This window comes from Homo sapiens, chromosome 3 (assembly GCF_000001405.40).
Source record: "Homo sapiens chromosome 3, GRCh38.p14 Primary Assembly".
Lineage (NCBI taxonomy): Eukaryota > Metazoa > Chordata > Mammalia > Primates > Hominidae > Homo > Homo sapiens.
Window position 1 is genome coordinate 197,938,345 of NC_000003.12, and position 19,339 is coordinate 197,957,683.

Here is a 19,339-nt window from a genome sequence, read left to right on the forward strand (position 1 = left end):
TTATGCAATATCATATAGCTGCCTTGCTTTCCATTCATATCACCCTGCCTCTAGGCAGTCTTTAGCTAATTCTATTCTCAGCAGTCATTTTGCATACACAGTAATGACTAACCTGTAGACGATAGCAGTCAGCCACCTGGGCGCCCCTTCGCTCATCTATGTGTAAATACGTTATTTCACTGCCAAATGTCTTCCTTCCTTACCTATCAATCTGAATTTTCTTCAGTGTCTCCGTAGTCATGATGGTCTGCCTTGTAGGTTTTTTGAAGACAAGATCCTGCATTTTGTTAAACTCCACAGCGAACCGGCCTCTGTGTCTGATTTCTGGCAAGTTGGGTCCTTCCTCAGTTATTAACGGACTGGGTATTTTTGTGATTGTTGAGGCCATTGGAAGTTTGTCTAGATTCGTTCCTTCTAGATTCATTTCTCTGCTTTTCTTTTAAAACAATAAACAATTAGAAAGAATTTTTTTAAAGAGACAATACAACAAGAAAGAGGCCTTTGTGTACATTTTTCAACATTATCTTCTCTGACTTCTACTCTATACTCCAAGAAAATGTGCCCCTTTCTTCAGCCACACCAAACCACACGCGCCCTGCTGCTAACTTCACACAACATTCTTCTTCTCCGTCATTCCCCAACTTACCACCTGGTACACTCTGCTCAAAAGTAAAGTTCTTTGTGAAATATCTCTGTTAGCAGGCATTTCTCATGTTGTAATTTTTTATAAAGTATCTCCATCAGGTCGTGGTTTCTAGGGTCGGGGGGACAGTGTCTTAGAGATCTTGGTTCCACTTCAAGAAAAACTTTTTTTGAAGACTAGTCTCAAGTTATTTTTGGAACAAGATTGGATATTCAATAAATGTGGCCATCTTTGTAGTCCCATTGCTTAGAACAATGACTAGCATATAGCAGAGACGCAAATGTTCCTTGAACATATGAACTTGAAATACAAATAAAAAAAGGAGAATCATACTAAAAGCAGAGGTTGATAGTACATTTAGTGGTGTGGTGTAGACTTTGAGGATCATGGAGGGAAAAGCCAAAATAATTTTTTTCAGAACCAAACTTGAATATTAAGGGACCGCAGGAACGGCGTATGCCTTTCAGCTGATGGTGCTGACTATTAAGGGACCGCAGGAACGGCCTATGCCTTTCAGCTGATGGTGTAAACTAAACTGTGGCTAAAAGCTTGAGCCACTGAGGCACACGATGCAGCGACTACACATACGGATTCTGAAGCCATGTTTGAATCCTGCTGTCTCTCAACTCTATTGACCTTGGGCAACTAGTTAACATCTCTGTGTCCCCATTTTCCCACTGGTAAAATAAATGGTTATTATTTTAGATTTTGCCTAAGGCAATAAGGGGAAATGTAAGGTCTAGGAGGCTCCACTGTCTTTTTTTTTTTTGAGACAGGGTCTTGCTCCGCCGCCCAGGCTGGAGTGCAGTGGCGCGATCTCGGCTCACTGTGACCTCTGGGATGCCCCATTTTCTGAGTTCCCTAACCACTATTCCTCTACCTTTATACTTGGACATCTGGAAAAGGAACCAAATGTGTCTCATGGCCTGATTTACTGATTACTAGAAAGAAATGTGAATTTTTAGAATAGAATTAAAGAAACGAGCTAAGTGTTCTAGTTGACGCACTAAAAAAAATTTTTTTTGAGACAGAGTCTCACTGTGTCGCTCAGGCTGGATTATAGTGGCACCATCTCCACTCACTGCAACCTCTGCCTCCCGGGTTCAAGCGATTCTCCTGCCTCAGCCTTCCAAGTAGCTGGGATTACAGGCCCACACCATCATGCCCGGCTAATTTTTTTGTATTTTTAGTAGAGATGAGGTTTCGCCATTTTGGCCAGGCTGGTCTCAAACTCCTGACCTCAGGTGATCCACCTGCCTCGGCCTCCCAAAGTGCTGGGATGACAGGCGTGAGCCACCGTGCCTGGCCTCTAAAAATTTACATATATATATATATATAATAATATATTTTATATTGCACATGCTATGTACAAGATAGGGTTTTTTACCGTAAGGAAAAAGAGAAGAAAAACAGTATTCCCTGCAAGAAAACTCTTTCCAAACTTTGGTCAAATCACTCTCATTTCTGGCAGAACCACGTATATTAATATATTTTTCATCCTTTCATTTCATAATTCTAATACATGAAAATGTATCTGGAGATGGCCTTAGCCATAAAAACGGCTTTAAAAGAGGGAAAATGCTAATCTTTCCTCTCAACGTTGTTAAAAGGCTCAAGGATGTCAAGCCTTTGGGAAAGGAAACATCCATATACTAACATTTAAAAATATACAGCCTAGGCCCTACAGGGCAGCGGCATCTTCAAATTCATGAGTCAGAACAACTATAGTACCATGAAATACAAACCAAAAAATATTTTAAGAGATTCACAATTTTTAAAAGATATGAAGCTAACATATTGAGAAATGGGCTTTTAAATTGCTATTAATCAACATGATTAAAGTTACTATAATTATACATATTATATATTACTATTTACACTACAGTAAAATCACAAGGAGGGTTTCTGTTGAGTCAGAAAATTTTGTGGGTAAAAGATCACTATGATAAACCAGAAAAAAACAGTGCAAAAGTTTCATTCATTTACTGGAGTAGTGACCACTGCTGAACACTGTCGATTAATTTAGAACACTGTCATTCTTGATATTCCATGATGGCAAATTACTCTTTTCAAAGGCTGACAGCAGGTAGCATTGAAAAGACTTCATTTATTAACTGAATGCCTTCCCATTTGTTTGTCCTTCCTTCCTTCCTTCCTTCCCTCCCTCCCTCCTTCCTCTCTCTCCTCTCTCTCTCCCCTCTCTCCTCTGTCTCTTTCTTTCCCTTCCTTCCTCCCTCCCTTCCCTTCCCTCTCCCTGCCCTCCCTTCCCCCTCCCTCCCTTCCTACCTTCCTCTCTTCCTTTCTTTCTTTTCCTCCCTCCTTCCCTTTCTTCCTTCCTTCCTCTCTCTCTCCCCTCTGTCTCTTTCTTTCCCTTCCTTCCTTCCTCCCTCTCTCCCCTCCCTTCCCCCTCCCTCCTCTCCCATCCCCCTCCCTCCTCTCCCATCCCCCTCCCTCCTCTCCCATCCCCCTCCCTCCTCACCCTTCCCCCTCCCCCTTCCCCTCCCTCCCTCCCTTCCTCCCTTCCTTCCTTCCTTTCTCTCTTTCTCTTTCTTTCTTTCCCTCCCTCCCTCCCTTCCTTCTTTCTTTCTCTTTCAACAAGGTCTCACTCTGTCACCCAGGTTGGCATGCAGTGGTGTGACCTTGGCTTGCTGCAGCCTCAGTCTCATGGGCTCAAATGATCCTCCCATATCAGCCTCCTGAGTAGCTGGGACTACAGGCGTACGCCACAATTCCTGGCTAATTTTTGTATTTTCTTGGTAGAGACAGGGTCTTCTATGCTGCCCAGGCTGGTCTCAAACTTCTGGCCTCAAGTATTTCTCCCACCTTGGCCTCCCAAAGCACCCATTTTATTTTTTATTCTTGCTGAAGGAGATAATAAATAGGAAGAATACACCAGTCTCTTCTGTACTATTTGTTAGCCAGCTTAAATTGTTAAGATTAGCCTCTTATTTTAAATGCAGTGGAAGATTTTGTTCTTAGATCCTTATCTGTTTGCCCTTCATAAGTTAACAAGGAAGTTAACTTACATTATACAATTCCTGTGATACTTACAGCATTTTAAAACTACCCCAAAACTCGCAGAATGCCAGCTCTGGAAGGGATCTATGGGTCATTTAGGTAAAACTCCATTACAACTTACAAATGAGAAAACTTAGACCAAAAAAGTGAAATGATTGCTAACAGCACGTAACTATATCCCAAACGTCTCCTGACTCCAAATCCATTGTTTTGTAAAATCTTATCTAAACTTTTTAAACTTTAATGAAAGCTTTAAGAACCCGGGCTGCTCGGGAGGCTGAGGCAGGAGAATGGCATGAACCCGGGAGGCGGAGCTTGCAGTGAGCCAAGATCGCGCCACTGCACTCCAGCCTGGGCAACAGAGCGAGACTCCGTCTCACAAAAAAAAAAAAAAAAAAAAAAAAAAAAAAGAGCCCAGGCTGTATATATAACAATAATAATTTAGAAAATTTGAAATTTTAATGGAAAATTAAAGGGAAATTTAATTTTCTTCTCTTGATAAATATGGACTTTACTGTTAGAAATGAAAAGCAAAAACAAAACAAACAAAATGAAAAAAAAAGCAATTTACCCTCTTATTTATATAGCAATTTTCAATGGTCATAGAATCAGACATAAGAATATCTTCTGGGCTGGGTGTGGTGGCTCACGCCTGTAATCCCAGCACTTTGGGAGGCCGAGGTGGGCAGATCACCTGAGGTCGGGAGTTCAAGACCAGCCTGACCAACATGGAGAAACTCCGTCTCTACTAAAAGTACAAAATTAGCTGGGCGTGGTGGCGTAATCCCAGCACTTGGGAGACTGAGGCAGGAGAACTGCTTGAACCCGGGAGGCGGAGGTTGCGGTGAGCCTAGACACTCCTGGGCAACAAGAGCGAAACTCCATCTCAAAAAAAAAAAAAAAAAAGTATCTTCTGAACAAGTTATATAATGTTATTATTTATAACTTGATAAATGTGTACTTCTATTTATAAATTGTTTCCATTTTATACCTACAACCTAAGTTACTGAAATGTACAAGAGCTTAAAAATGCATAAAGACTTTGCTCACTACTAAGTTAATTTTCTGATAACTCAGTGCTGCTTCACAGAGGATTCATCAATGACAACAAAGTCATTTTAGATTAAAGCGTTAAGAGTGGAGTTGAATTTCCTCCCCCTAGTGTTCAGTTAGGTTGCAGCAGCTGAGAAATACAAGTTGGGTGGGACAACTCAGTAATTCCATCTCTTCAGTATATAGATTGTATTCATACTGATTTCAGTAGAGGCCTTTTTGGGTAAAACCAATATACTAGAAAAGGATATTCTGTCTGGTAATATACCTTGAGTTATGGCAATTTCACTCCATCAGTTGAGAGTGCATATCTCAGATAGTTATTGTAGCCCCTTTATCTGAAATAAAGGTGCTATTTCCCACGTGATATTTAATGGCACCAGCCTGGACAACATAGTGAGATCCCATCTCTATAGAATTTTTATAAAAAATTAGCTGGGTGTGGTAGTGCAGGCCTGTAGTCCCAGCTACCCAGGAGGCTGAGGTGGGAGGATCACTTGAGCCTGGGAGGTAGAGGCTGCAGTCAGCCATGATGGCACCACTACACTCCAGCTTAGGCCACAGAGCGAGACCCTGTCAAAAAAAAAAAGAAAAGAAACAAAGAAGGAAAGAGAGAGAGAGAAAGAAAGAAAAATAAGTACATTTAATGGGATAGGTACTATAAATGAGGGAGAAATAAAAAATAAAGCAAAATTAACTCATGGTGAGTGGGTCTATACCACGCAGATGCTCTGTCTCCCTTCGTACTGAACGGGCATGATGTAGTTCAGAATAGAGAGCTGGTCTGTGGTGTCCTCCAGAACTGCCGAGATCCTCAGCACATCTGGAAGGGACAGTGGCTCTAGAGTTTCCGGGATTTCTGGGATGATTTCTATGTCTGTTTCTTTAGGTATTCCTTCTTCTTCTACGGTACTAGGTGGTTCGCCTGTCACTGACACCGTCATCTCAGAATGCCAAACTTTTGGAGGAAGGTTTGAGTCTTCCAGGCTGTCTCTAAGGAAAGAATAAAGAAAAAATAAGTCAGCAACCAATATTTAAACATTACTTTAACTCAAAAGCACAGGCAGCAACGTGCTGGGCTCCTGTGATATTCACATCGTCGTATAATAGAACCTAGATGAAAAAAAAGGAGGATTTGGCGTGTGATTCTGCTAAGTATCTTCCATTTTGACCAACCAAAGGCAAACAACTTACTCTTTTTTTTTTTTTCTTTTTTTCAGATGGAGTTTCGCTCTTGTTGCCCAGGCTGGAGTGCAATGGTGCTATCTCAGCTCACCGCAACCTCTGCCTCCCAGGTTCAAGCGATTCTCCTGCCTCACCCTCCCGAGTAGCTGGGATTACAGGCATGTGCTACCACACCTGGCTAAGTTTGTGTTTTTATTTTATTTTATTTTATTTTATTTTTTTTGAGACAGAGTCTCACTATGTTGCCCAGGCTGGAGTGCAGTAGCGCGATCTTGGCTCACTGCAAGCTCTGCCTCCTGGGTTCACACCATTCTCCTGCCTCAGCCTCCCAAGTAGCTGGGACTACAGGCGTCCACCAACACACCTGGCTAATTTTTTGTATTTTTAGTAGAGACGTGGTTTCACCGTGTTAGCCAGGATGGTCTCGATCTCCTGACCTCGTGATCCGCCCACCTCGGCCTCCCAAAGTGCTGGGATTACAGGTGTGAGCCACCGCGCCCGGCCAGTTTGTGTTTTTAGTAGAGATTGGGTTTCTCCATGTTGGTCAGACTGGCCTTGAACTCCTGACCTCAGGTGATCTGCCCAACTCAGCCTCCCAAAGTGCTGGGATTACAGGCGTGAGCCACCGCGCCTGGCCTACTGTTTAATAAAGGTATGTAGTTCATGCAATTTGGCTATTCTGATCAATTTGAATTTGAGCCAAAATTAACTTTTTTTTCCCTAGGAGTATCTTTGGATGCTAACCAAAAGTGTCTCATGATGAGTGAAAAACAGAATGTGGTATCCAGCCTCCAAGGTGGCCCAAATGATTCTCACTTTCTAGTGTTAACGCCTCTGTGTAGTCTACACCACACCGAGCAGGACTAGCCTATGTAACCAGAAGGTTACGGTGGGGATGACGGAGTGTGACTTGCAAGGCTAGGTGATAAAAGACATTGCAGCTTCTGCCTCACTCTCTCAAATCTCTCACTGTGAGGGAAGACAGCTGCCTTGGTATGAGGACACTTCAGCAGCACTGTGGACACATCCATGAAGGTAAGGAACTAAGGCCTCTTGCCGGCAGCCTGCACCAACTTGCCAGCTCTGTCAATGAACCACCTTGGAAGTGGATACTGCAGCCCCCATCAAGTGTTCAGATCATTGCCACCCCTGGCCAACTTCAAGTTCAGGAGAGACCTCAAGCCAGCACCATCCAGCTAACCTGCTCCTAACCTTGGGACCCACAGAAACTGTGGGAAAGAATAAATGTTTATATTTTAAGTCACTAAGTTCTGGGGTAATCTGTTACGCAGCAATAGATAAGGTATACACAGAAATTTAACAGAAGGCATAATTTAAATACATGTATACAAAAAACATTGGAATTTTAAACATACTCTTCCATTCTTCTGTAGCTTCGTTACCCTCCGTGGTATATTTATAATCTCACAAAAGTGCAGTTACCTAAAATGGGAAAGAAACACTGAGATTAGTTTATGGGCGTCTTGAATGATGTTTCAGTTATTTCTATACCATTTCATTAAGAGAAAATTAAATGATTACGGGAGCTGTGACTATCGCCTCTTTGTGCGGAGTGGAGCAGTCCCAGAGGCGAAAGAGCCTCCGACATCATGGAGTGCAGGTCTATGAAGAAGTCAACTGAGTTATTACTGCTCTACCAAACTCAAGACACATGCACTCTGTGAGCCTCTTCTTTAGGTAAATTAATGTTCAACGTGGTTTTAGTATGTTCTATTATATCACCGATTTTTAATTGGTAATCTCTATATACTTGATTTTTTCTATCATTCTGATTACTGTAATATTTAATTAGGTCACTCAATTCATCTTCTCTGCCAGATAACAGAATTTGCTCCACATGGACTTAGAGGAATAAGTGAGATGACACTTAGAAAAACTGTATTAATTGGGGCCGGGCGCGGGGGCTCACGCCTGTAATCCCAGCACTCTGGGAGGCCGAGGCAGGCGGATCACAAGGTCAGGAGATCGAGACCATCCTGGCTAACACGGTGAAACCCCGTCTCTACTAAAAATACAAAAAATTAGCCGGGCGTGGTGGCGGGTGCCTGTAGTCCCAGCTACTCGGGAGGCTGAGGCAGGAGAATGGCGTGAACCTGGGAGGCAGAGCTTGCAGTGAGCCGAGATCGCGCCACTGCACTCCAGCCTGGGCGACAGAGCGAGACTCCGTCTCAAAAAAAAAAAAAAAAAAAAAGGAAAACTGTATTAATCCTGGAAATCAGTTTAACATTGCTATCAAGATGTTACCCCTCCTCAGTAAACCAAAATCCTTTCTGCTTAAATGAGCTTTACAGTGAAAACCCCTATGGAGAAGTTTGCGTTGTACTGAATGGACAGTGAGTGGTGAGTTTCCAATGTAAATTTGTCCACAATAAAGCAACTCTGAGAGACGTGGTGCAAATATGACTCTTGCAACAAAAATCTTACATGCAAAAATTCAAACACACAAAACAGAATCTTCACATAAATTTGAAAAAGTACTTCAGACTAGCCAAATGTCCTGATGCAGGGGCAGTTTTAGGAGGAAGTAGCATGGTATTAAGCAGAATACCTTTCTTTTTTTCTTTTCTTTTTTTTTGAGATGGAGTTTTTCTCTTCTTGCCTAGGCTGCAGTACGATGGCGCGATCTTGGCTCACTGCAACCTCTGCCTCCCAGGTTCAAGTGATTTCCCTGCCTCAGCCTCCCGAGTAACTGGGATTACAGGCTCACACCACCATTTTGTATTTTTAGTAGAGACGGGGTTTCACCATGTTGGCCAGGCTGGTCTCGAACTCTTGACCTCAGGTGATCCACCTGCCTCAGTCTCCCAAAGTGTTGAGATTACAGGCGTGAGCCAAGGCGCCCAGGCGGATTTTACTTTCTATTTCCATATCTCCTAAGCTGGACCTAGTTGTTGCTGTGTTTGTTTGTTTCCTTGTTTTCTTTTTTGCTTGAACTACTCCAACAACCTCTAAATTGGAAGTGATCTTTTAATTTTTAAATTTTTTTTTTCTGATATCCTGACAGAAGGTTCAGGAAGTGAGCTTTTTAAAATGAAAGGGTGATCTTTTAAAATGGAAAATCTCATCATGTCCTTCCCTAGAACCCTTCAATGGTTTCCCGTTGCCTTAGGACAAAGAAGAAAATTCTTGACTTGGTCCACAAGGTCTGTATGATCTGGGCCCCTCTGTTCCTCTCTAGACCCAACTACAACTGCACTTTCCTTGCTCTCTGGGCTCCAGCCACAGTGGGCTTCTTTCAGTTCTTCTCTGGACTCATGCTCCCTTGCAACTCAGGGTCTTTGCACCTGCTATTCCTTCCAGTGGAGCCACTCTTCCCTCACCTTTTCACCGTGTAAAGTCCCACTGACCCATCACCAGCTTAAGACAGTGTCATTTTTCTAGGTGAAATCTCTAACATTTTCTGTGCTCTGAGAGATGGACCCGTATGGAGTATATCCAGGGGAGATTCCAGAAAGAGATTCAGTGTAGAGAAGTGAGATCAGACATTTATTCTCCCTGCTCCTTCTCTGCCAGAATATAATTGGTTGGTTATGTTCCTCTATCAAAGGTCATGGCTCCTGTCAGGCAATTCTCTCCAAACGTCTCTCTCTGGGCTTAGGTAACTATTTCTTTCCTAGGTCCCGGGAGACTCCATCATCCCTTGTAGTTTCACTCCTGCTTTACCTTTTTTTTTTTTTTTTTTTTTTTTGAGACGGTCTCACTCTGTCACCAAGGCTGGAGTGCAGTGGCAGGATCTCAGCTCACTGAAACCTCCCCCTACCAGGTTGAAGCGATTCTTGTACCTCAGCCTCCCAAGTAGCTGGGATGACAGGCACACACCAACACCCCTGGCTGATTTTTGTATTTTTAGTAGAGACAGGGTTTCACTATGTTGGCCAGGCTGGTCTCAAACTCCTGACCTCAAGTGATCCACCCACCTCAGCCTCCCAAAGTGCTGGGATGACAGGCGTGAGCCACTGCGCCCGGCCCATACTTTGTTTTAAAAAGTATTCTTATCATGCTCTACTAATGGTCATCACCTGCAGTTTGAAAAATGCCTTAACTGACACTTGTCCAAGTGATCCTTTCGCTGACTCGTCAGGCCAGATCAGGCTTCTGGGCACTCATGCCACTACTTTCCCGCAGAGCTGTGTTCACAATTTGTTACGTTAGTGTCAGTTTCCCCCCACTAGACAACTGTTCCATGAAAGCAGCAACATGACAACGATGCTCACAGTTGTATCAGGTGCTAAGTCTCAGTGCTCAATAAGTATTTGTGGAACGAATAATACACGAGCAAACGAATGAAACTCACACTTAATGTGTTATTCCTCCCAGGAGGACTTCCATATAGAACTTTGACAAATCAATATCTAATAGTGAAATTTCTAGCACATTTCTTTCTGGGACAGGGAACACTGGGTGGGGTAGTAGGCTACAAGGTACAAGTTCTATCCTGTTGTATTTAAGAGAGGATCTGATTTTAAAAGTGACTTATATACATCTATTTCATACAACTTCGGAGTCATACTTTACTCTCTCTCATTCCTCATCCACCAGCAAATCTTGCCAGAATTTAAATATATTCAGAATTCCAGTACTCAATATCCTCTGTTTACACACCATCACCTCTCATCATAGTCACTACAGGAACCTATAATTATCTTCCTGCTGATACCCTTGCCTCCCTTCACTTTCAACACAGTGACTTTGTCAATATAGAAGTCAGATAGAGTCACCCTTCTGTTCAGGACCCTTAAATAGTTCCCATCTCAAAGCAGGGGAAGCCTCTTTTACATACTTCCCATCTCAAAGTGGGGAAAGCCTCTTTTACAGTGGCCTCTCTGCTTAATTTTCTTCACAGAAATTATCATCTTCTAACGTGTCATCTATTTTTACTTGCTCATTGTGTTGCTCCGCCTCGTAGGATATAAGCTCCACGAGGGCATAGATTTGTTTACTGCCGTGTCATCTTACACAAACCTTGGTACAGGGTAGTCATTCATTAAACTATGTGTTAAATAAATGAATGAATCCATAGGATAACCCAAATAAATATGCAATAATTCGGAAATGTGAATCTCTGGCGTCCACTAATCCACCTCTACAAGTATCTACGGAGGACCTACTAGGTGCGGACACGAGGCAGCTAAACGAGTTCTCCTAAAAGGGCGATAAAGCCTCCTGCAGGCAGTCCTCCTCATACCTCGGATCCAAAAAGAAGAATGGAGGTAAGAACTTAAGTCATTTCATTCATTTTTTTTTTCTTTTGTAGAGGTTGGGGGAGGTGGTCTCACTATGTTGCCCAGGCTGGTCTCGAACTCCTGGCCTCAAGCGATCCTCCCGCCTCGGCTTCCCAAAGAGCTGGGTTTACAGGCGTGAGCCACTGTGCCCAGTCTCATTTCTTGAAAGAGATAAATAAGTAGAGGGGAGAAAAGAAGTATAGAAAAAGAAAAAAGAGAAGGAAGAGGTCCTGCTGCCTTCGTGCTCCCGGCCTTTCTCTTCCATGCTAGATTAGGATCCCAGAATTTCCGTTCTGTCTATTGCTGTGTGTATCGAGAGAAAAGCACCCCACTGTTGGCAAATCAATCTTACAGTCAATCATTCTTTAGGCAGCGGGAACATCCTCCACTCAGGGTTCGCCTTTCCACCTACGGCGTCCGGGGACGCAGGAAGTAAACTAAGTTGTTTCTATGGCAACGCACAGCTTTGGCGGATTTAGCTGGCTACCATTTTGCCTTCCCTTGTTCCCAAGTAGTACATTTTGCAGCCTACCAAGATGAAAGGACTTAGGAAAATAATTGTAAGAGTGCTATTGAATGTGGCTTATTTCAGTGCGAAGCCGATTTCCGAGGATTGTTTTTCTGGCGTTTGGAGAAGATGCCTAAATTGAGGGCGGAGTCGAAAGATGTTTAATCCCACAAGGCCACGCGGCGGGGCCTCGTCCTTCTCTTACCGCCATCTTGGCTCCTGTGGAGGTGAGTGAAGGGTCTGCTGCTGAAATTTGGGGGCAAATAACCGGAGTAGGTTTGTTCCTGTGCCTTGGCGAGTCGCCGGTGCGTATCGGAGTCTCTGCCAGCCATTGATTTCTACGGGTTTCAAGAAGAGGGAGAACAGGATGGAGGAGATGTTGGGCTGATGGTGTTTGGTCCCCTGACACCCGGAGAACGGCTGCCCGGGTTATCCCAGTTAAATTCCTGGGCCTGAACGGAGTGAAACGATGTTTTTGTTCGTGTGCAGTTGTCCATGAGGCAGTGCTTCCTTCATCCGTTTCCTCCCAGTCCATACCTTCCTTGGCTTGTCTGACCAGTCTCTTTCCTCAGCTTTTCTCCCCCAGCCATTGCATAAAAGTCTTACGTGTGTGTTTCTCTTTAAGGCTTCATTTCTTTTCCTGAGTGTTGCCTACTGATAACGGCATGCATTTTCTCAGGCTTTTCTGAGAGTCATTTTTGTGACTCCTGTCCCTTAGTTTTGTCTTCATTCTGAAGTTTGCTTAGATACCAGCTGTTCTCTGAGGTTTGAATGTCTTGCCGGACCCTGCGTTTCATATGGATGTTCTGGCATTGTTGTCCCCGAACTCCTACATGAAACTCCCATCCAAAAGGAATTTGCTTTAGGGGCTTAAACGAGAGGGGACGAGGTGGGAAACTTGTGTGGCTTGGTTTTAAACTAATCTTTTTGTTTGTTTTAAGGCCTGCTGGGAACGGGACTTCTAAAAGGAACTATGTCTGGAAGGTACGCGTTTTAAATATAGTTCTTTATTTTTGTGTGTTAGACGTGAACGTAAATGCGAGCTTAAAATTGGCAAGAAAAAACTTAGATGTTTGCTCTGAGTAACTTTTGGGTGGGGGTGATTACAAGTCAGATTGGTTTTTTGAAGCTTATGTTTCATGTTGTGTATCTTTTGTGTCTTAGGCTGTGGTCCAAGGCCATTTTTGCTGGCTATAAGCGGGGTCTCCGGAACCAAAGGGAGCACACAGCTCTTCTTAAAATTGAAGGTGTTTACGCCCGAGATGAAACAGAATTCTATTTGGGCAAGAGATGCGCTTATGTATATAAAGCAAAGAAGTAAGTTTATGACACTGGTAGGTTTTGGGTTTTTGAGATCTGCCTCATTTTCTTTTTTATATAACGGAGTCTTGCTCTGTTGCCGAGGCTGGAATGCAGTGACTTGGTCTCCCTCACCGAAACCTCCGCCTCCCGGGTTCAAGCAAGTGTCCTGTCTCAGCCTCCCGAGTAGCTGGGATTACAGGCGCCGGCCACCACGCCCGGCTAGTTTTTGTATTATTAGTAGAGACAGGGTATTGCCATGTTGGCCAGGCTGGTCCCAAACTCCTGACCTTAGGTGATCCGCCCACCTCGGCCTCCCAAAGTGCTGAGATTACAGGCTTGAGCCACCGCGCCTGGCCTCATTATCCTATTGAAATAATAAACAAAAGATTTAGCTGAAGTACTTGGTATTGTTTTTTTGTTTTTGTGACAAGAGTCTCTGTTGCCCAGGTTGGAGGGCAGTAGCGCGATCTTGGCTCGCTGCAGCCTCTGCCTCCTGGCTCAAGCGATTCTCCTGCCTCAGCCTCCTGAGTAGCTGGGCTTACAGGGGTGTGCCACCACGCCCGGCTAATTTTTGTATTTTTACTAGAGAATGGGTTTCCCCATGTTGGCCAGGCTGGATTGGTATTGCTGTGGCTTCTATTTTGCGTCATTAAGGAACTTAATGGGGAGTTTTAGAAGGACGTTACTTCTGAGGGTGGTGTTGGATTTAGGTACCTTTTGCACTTGTAAGCAATAAAGGAGGTAATTCCTTATATTGTGATCCTTTTAAGGTTTCTAATTTTTTTTCTCGGCTCCTTTTGCCAGAATTTAAGGATTTTTAGAACACTTGTGCTTAATGCATTTTGTTAATGCCTTAAAATTATGGGTTTTTTTTTTTTTTTTTTTTTTTTTTGGAGACGGAGTCTCACTGTCACCTAGGCTGGAGTGCAGTAGCACAATATCGGCTCACCGCAACCTCCGCCTCCCGGGTTCAAGGGATTCTCCTGCCTTAGCCTCCTGAGTAGCTGGGATTACAGGCGGCCGCCACCATGCCTGTCTAATTTTTGTATATTTAGTAGAGATGGGGTTTCACCATTTTGGCCAGGCTGGTCTTAAACTCCTGAACTTGTGATCCACCCACCTCAGCCTCCCAAAGTGCTGGGATTACAGGCAGGAGCCACGGTGCCCCGCCCCTTGTTTTTTCTTTTCTTTCTTTTCTTTTTTTCTTTCTTTTTTGAGACAGAGTTTTGCTCTTGTTATCCAGGCTAAAGTGCAATGGCACAATCTCAGCTCACTGTAATCTCTGCTTCCCGGGTTCAAGCGATTATCCTGCCTCAGCCTCCGAGTGAGGTGGGATTACAGGCGTGTGCCACCACACCCAGCTAATTTTATGTTTTTAGTAGAAACGGGGTTTCACAGTGTTGGTCACTCTGGTCTTGAACTCCTGACCTCAAGTAATCCACCTGCCTCGGCCTCCCAGAGTGCTGGGATTATAGCGCAAGTCACTGCACCAGGCCAAAATTAGTTTTTATGCATGCCTAAAGATGTTTATGCTGTAGACTTTTTTTTTTTTTTGAGACAAAGTGTTGCTCTGTTGCCCAGGCTGGAGTGCAGTGGTGTGATCTCAGCTCACTGCAACCTCAGCTTCCCCAGTAGCTGGGATTACAGGCGCGCACCACCACACCCGGCTAACTTTTGTATTTTTAGTAGAGACAGGGTTTCACCATGTTGGCCAGGCTGGTCTCGAACTCCTGACCTCGTGATCCACCCGCCCCAGCCTCCCAAAGTGCTGGGATTACAGGCGTGAGCCATCGTGCCATTGCACCTTAGCCTGGACAACAAGAGCAAATCCTATTGTCTTCACCCACTCCAAGCCAATTAAAATCTCTGGGAAAGTGTTTTAATCATTGCCCCACCTTTTCTTCTACAGCCAATGTGTTCCTTTAAAATTTTAAGTCAGGTGCAGTGGCTCACACTTGTAGCCCCAGCATTTGAGAGCCCTAGGTGGGAGGATTGCTTGATGCCAGGAGATAGAGGCTGCAGTGAGCTATGATTGGGCCACTGTACTGCAGCCTGGGTGACAAGACAACCCCGTGGTCTTTAAAGGAAATATATATAAAGTCATATCCTTTGTACATTGCTCGAACCACAGTAGTTTCTCTCATTCAGTAAAAGCCCGTCATTAAGAGCTCCATAATTCTCTTTATCTCAGCTGGGATTAACCCCTTGGTGTCTTCAGTCTTTCTTCCGGCCAGGACACACACTCCTTGGCCCCAGTGCCTGCGCTAGTCATCCCGTGATCACTTCATGGCATTTCCCCTCCCTTTCCAGTCTTTGTTCCATGGTCACCTCAGTGAGACCTTCCTTGGCTATTTAAAATGGCAGGTAATTCCTCCTTTCTGTACACACAAATATCCTCACACTTGTCCTTTTTTGCTATTTTTTCAATATTGCCTCTGTTATCATCTGACCTATGTATTTTCCTTAAACTTACTTGGTTATCATGTGAAAGATTTTTGTTTTATAGCTGCTGTATTTTACAGAAGGGCCTGGCATACAATAGTTACTCGATAAGTATCTGTTGAATGAATGGTGTTCTAGGCATTTAAAGTTTCTCAGGTGATGAAGTGGGTAACCAGGGTTGAGAGCCACTCGTGTAGAGGTCACCTTGAATTTGTATCCAACTATATCAGCTTGTATTCCTCTTCTTTCCCTTTTTAAAATCAGCAACACAGTCACTCCTGGCGGCAAACCAAACAAAACCAGAGTCATCTGGGGAAAAGTAACTCGGGCCCATGGAAACAGTGGCATGGTTCGTGCCAAATTCCGAAGCAATCTTCCTGCTAAGGCCATTGGACACAGAATCCGAGTGGTGAGTATGGTTTTTAGCAAAATGGACGTCTGATGAATCAGACTAGGTTCAAGGTGTTGTGCTTTGACTTCTGAGGACTTCTGTGGTTGTGAAATTGACACCAGTAAATTATGCTGCAAAATTTGTGTATTGCAGAACACTGGAGAGATAGTAATTGAAAGAATTAGGTGTTTGGTTGTTTGTTTTTTGTTTTTTTTTTGGGGGGAGACAGGGTCTCACTTTGTCACCCAGGCTGGGGTGCAGTGGCATAATCACAGCTTATTGCAGCCTCGACCTCCTGGGTTCAAGCAATCCTTCCACCTCAGCCCCCCAAGTAGCTGGGACCATAGGCGTGTGCCACCACACCCAGCTAATTTTTGGGGTTTTTGTTGTGTTTTTTTGAGACAAGGTCTCACTTTGTCACGCAGGCTGGAGTGCAGTGGCATGATCTCAGCTTGCTGCTACCTTTGCCTCCAAAGTTCATGTGATTCTTGTGCCTCAGCCTCCCGAGTAGCTGGAATTACAGGCGTATATACCACCATGCCCAGATAATTTTTTGTATTTTTGTATTTTGTTTCTCCATGTTGCCCAGGCTGGTCTTGAACTCCTGAGCCCAAGTGATCTGCCCACCTTGGCCTCCCAGAGTGCTGGGATTATATGCTTGAGCCACCACAGCCAGCCTTGAATAAATAGTTTTCTGGTGAAGATATTTATTGGGCACTGAAGTAATTGTTAGAAAGCAACAATTCAACAGTTACGCCTGGCATAATTGTTAATATTTTGCCATTTCCATCATGTCAGTCTTGTTAGAACAGGTGTTAGTAGCTTTATTTTGTACATGAAGAAAACAGACTCTCATGTTCCTAGGTCTCAGGTCTTTGGTGCCAGCCTTGGACTCTAAATTTTTCTCAATTTTCTCCTGTAATTTTTCTCAAATAGTTCGTACTTTTTCTTTAGGGTCCATTTTGGAATGTAGACTGTATATTCTTGGGACCAAGAATATATGCATACCATGTATTCTTGGGGCCAGGGGGTACTGTTGAACCCTGCTAAGTGGTTCATTAGGGTTTATCAACAGAGGAGGCTTTTACTCTGTCTTTAGAAGAAGCAAAATTAAATGTACCTTCAGTACATGTTTTTCTTTTTCTTTTTTTTTTTTTGAGACCAGAGTCTCATTCTGTCACCAGGCTGGAGTGCAGTGGTGGGATCTTGCCTCACTGCAAGCTCCCAGGTTCAAGCGATTCTCCTGCCTCAGCCTCCTGCGTAGCTGGGACTATAGGCACGTACCACCATGCCCAGCTGATTTTTGTATTTTTTAGTAGAGACAGGGTTTTACCATGTTGGCCAGGATGGTCTCTATCTCTTGACCTTAGGATCTGCCCGCCTAGGCCTCCCAAAGTGATGGGATTACAGGTGTGAGCCACAGCACCTGGCCAGTACATGTTTTTTATGAGTGCCGGTTCTTACGGTATGTTCACGTAGAGACTGAAGGCTATAAAAACTTTCCTTACCACTAGAACATGTAATTGGTAGCCTTTCAGAGATTTATCCGTATTACGGTTCTTGATTTGTAGACGTATATATAACATTCACCTAATGTTTTGTGTTCTTTTTTCCCTGCAGATGCTGTACCCCTCAAGGATTTAAACTAACGAAAAATCAATAAATAAATGTGGATTTGTGCTCTTGTATTTTTAAGTGGATTAAAAAACTTACTACCTTAAATTGATTTGCTACATGCTTAAAATGATAGAGGTTGCTCAGCATTTTTGGAGTACAAGGGGGTCAGAGAGACATGTGATGAAAATTACAGGGCGAGTACAGAGATTTAGAAGGGAACGGGTTTTAATGCGAGTATCTTTGACAGAGTCTTGCTCTGTTGCCCATGCTGGAGTGTAGTGGTGCTCGCTGCAGCCTCACATTCAAAGGCTCAAGCAATCCTCCCTTGGCCTTTGAAGTAGCTGGGACCACAGGCTCATGCCACCATCCCTGGGTCATTTTTAAATTTTTTGTAGAGAGGGTCTGACTCTTGCCTATGCTGGCTTCAAACTCCTGGGCTCAAGCAATCCTCCTTCCTTGGCCTCTCCTGAAGTGCTGGGATACAGTTATGAGCCACCACACCTGCCAAGTGCTTTGTGATACTATGCATTTGTTCAATGCAGATTGGGAAACTTAAAATTTGAATGGAGATTATGTTGATGGGCTTTGGCAGTTCATTTGGATAGACTGGGATGAGAAGCTCTTGGGACTTGTGACTGGACAAAGCATTCCAGTATATTAAAATAAAATTAAGCCATATTACTCCACTCATAAAAAGCAATCCTATGGTAGGTACATGGAGGTTGGGAATAGTGCACGGAAAGGTGGCAGCTTTCTTTGGCTTCATGTTTTAATCTGGTAAAGTTCAAGATTGCACTTTAAGCAGGCCTCCTAAATATTTTAGATTTCTTGGGGATATGCTAAAATAAAACAACTAAGGCATCAGTTTTGCTGTATGGTTTTTTTTTTTTTTTTGAAGACAAGGTCTTGTTTTGTTGCTTGGGCTGGAGTGCAGTGGCGTGATTACAGCTTACTGCAACCTCAACCTCAACCTCCTCGGCTCAGGCAAACCTCCTGCCTCAGCCTCCTAAATAGCTGGGGCCACAGGCATGTGCAGCCACAACCAGTTAACTTTTTAGTTATTTGTGGAGATGGGCCTCACTATGTTGCCCAGGTAGTACTACATTTCTAACTGATGCAGTAACAGTCTTTTTGTCTGCCCCCTGAGGGTTACTGATCTCTACAGCACAGGTAGTTTTTTAAATTAACATCTTTAAATTGCACTGAAAATGTCAACAAGAAACTGGGAGTTTGCCACCTAAGCCCTTTTGCAGTTTTGCAGCGTGTATGGGTTCTCTTGTCTATGCTGCAAAAGAATTAACATGCTGGAAATGTATTAGGATAAGAGGGTGAAAGAAAGGATTGGGTAGGAAAAGCACACTGGCTGTTGTGTTATTTGGTCTTCCATCTCCTGGAGACAGGACTGAGAAGGAAAGTTTTTGTAGTAAGGGAAAAGAGTGGGAATACTGTCCAGCTTTCCCACTTCCCCTTCCTCCAGTAACATCCTGTTACAAATCTGCTAACCTACAAAGAGGGTAGTGAGATATACTGACCCAAGAGAAAGCAAGACGCCCTCCCCCAGAGGTCCCTCTGTCACACTGGCAGTTCTAAGAAAGGTTTGGTCAGTCCAATGGTGGTATGCAAGCCAAAGCTGCCATTGTTGGAGTCCCGTGCTTCGTGGACATGGGCTTGTGTTAGTACTCTGCCAGGCTCATTTATTAGGATTGTGGTGGTTTTTTTTTTTTTTTTTTTGAGACAGTCTTGCTCTGTCGTCTAGGCTGGAGTGCAGTGGCGCAATCTTGGCTCACTGCACGCTCCGCCTCCCGGGTTCACGCCATTCTGTCTCAGCCTCCCAGGATTGTGGTTTTAAGGCAAACAAAGTGCACTGATGCTGTATTCACCAGAAGTGAGCAGTACTTCAAGGCCGGAAGTTGGAAGTTGTATATTAGAATGCTAAT

General features: G+C 43.8%; 2 protein-coding genes across 11 annotated transcripts in view, besides 3 other annotated features; one reads left to right on the forward strand and one right to left on the reverse strand.

The window, feature by feature from the left end:
- The window catches only part of DRC9 (dynein regulatory complex subunit 9), a 71,101-nt gene that overhangs the window by 49,268 nt on the left and 2,494 nt on the right, over positions 1-19,339 (reverse strand). For 3 of the 9 annotated variants that reach the window (XR_007095755.1, XM_024453790.2, NM_032263.5), the window contains exons 3-5: positions 7,276-7,342; positions 5,434-5,707; positions 204-436 (exon numbers count right to left, since the gene is read on the reverse strand). Coding sequence is in view for 7 of the 9 variants with exons in the window: in XM_024453790.2 (XP_024309558.1) it covers positions 204-436; positions 5,434-5,707; positions 7,276-7,283 (515 nt within the window). In the remaining 2 variants the exon portion in view is untranslated. Of the gene's footprint in view, positions 1-203; positions 437-5,412; positions 5,708-7,275; positions 7,343-11,028; positions 11,582-19,339 lie in introns of those variants that run through there. The other 6 variants (XR_007095756.1, NM_001134435.3, NM_001323030.2 and 3 more) reach the window with 5 other exon arrangements.
- Positions 11,249-11,468: an enhancer, noted in NCBI's record as "active region_21122". NCBI's record gives its function as "activates an Ori minimal core promoter by ATAC-STARR-seq in GM12878 lymphoblastoid cells {active_cell/tissue: GM12878}" and the evidence as "EXISTENCE:reporter gene assay evidence [ECO:0000049][PMID:35858748]".
- Positions 11,548-12,330: an enhancer, noted in NCBI's record as "NANOG-H3K27ac-H3K4me1 hESC enhancer chr3:197676763-197677545 (GRCh37/hg19 assembly coordinates)". NCBI's record gives its function as "activates a minimal SCP1, AML or CMV promoter by ChIP-STARR-seq in primed H9 embryonic stem cells {active_cell/tissue: H9 hESC(primed)}" and the evidence as "EXISTENCE:reporter gene assay evidence [ECO:0000049][PMID:30033119]".
- Positions 11,846-18,266, forward strand: RPL35A (ribosomal protein L35a). 2 transcript variants are annotated; one of them, NM_001316311.2, is made up of 5 exons: positions 11,846-11,955; positions 12,592-12,634; positions 12,815-12,967; positions 15,659-15,803; positions 17,406-18,266. In NM_001316311.2, the coding sequence occupies exons 2-5, from the start codon at positions 12,624-12,626 to the stop codon at positions 17,427-17,429; spliced, it is 333 nt and encodes a 110-aa protein (NP_001303240.1). In that variant the 5' UTR covers positions 11,846-11,955; positions 12,592-12,623; the 3' UTR covers positions 17,430-18,266. The 2 variants fall into 2 exon arrangements, with proteins under 2 accessions (NP_001303240.1, NP_000987.2); NM_000996.4 differs by having other exon boundaries at positions 11,846-11,877.
- Positions 13,114-13,895: an enhancer, noted in NCBI's record as "H3K27ac-H3K4me1 hESC enhancer chr3:197678329-197679110 (GRCh37/hg19 assembly coordinates)". NCBI's record gives its function as "activates a minimal SCP1, AML or CMV promoter by ChIP-STARR-seq in primed H9 embryonic stem cells {active_cell/tissue: H9 hESC(primed)}" and the evidence as "EXISTENCE:reporter gene assay evidence [ECO:0000049][PMID:30033119]".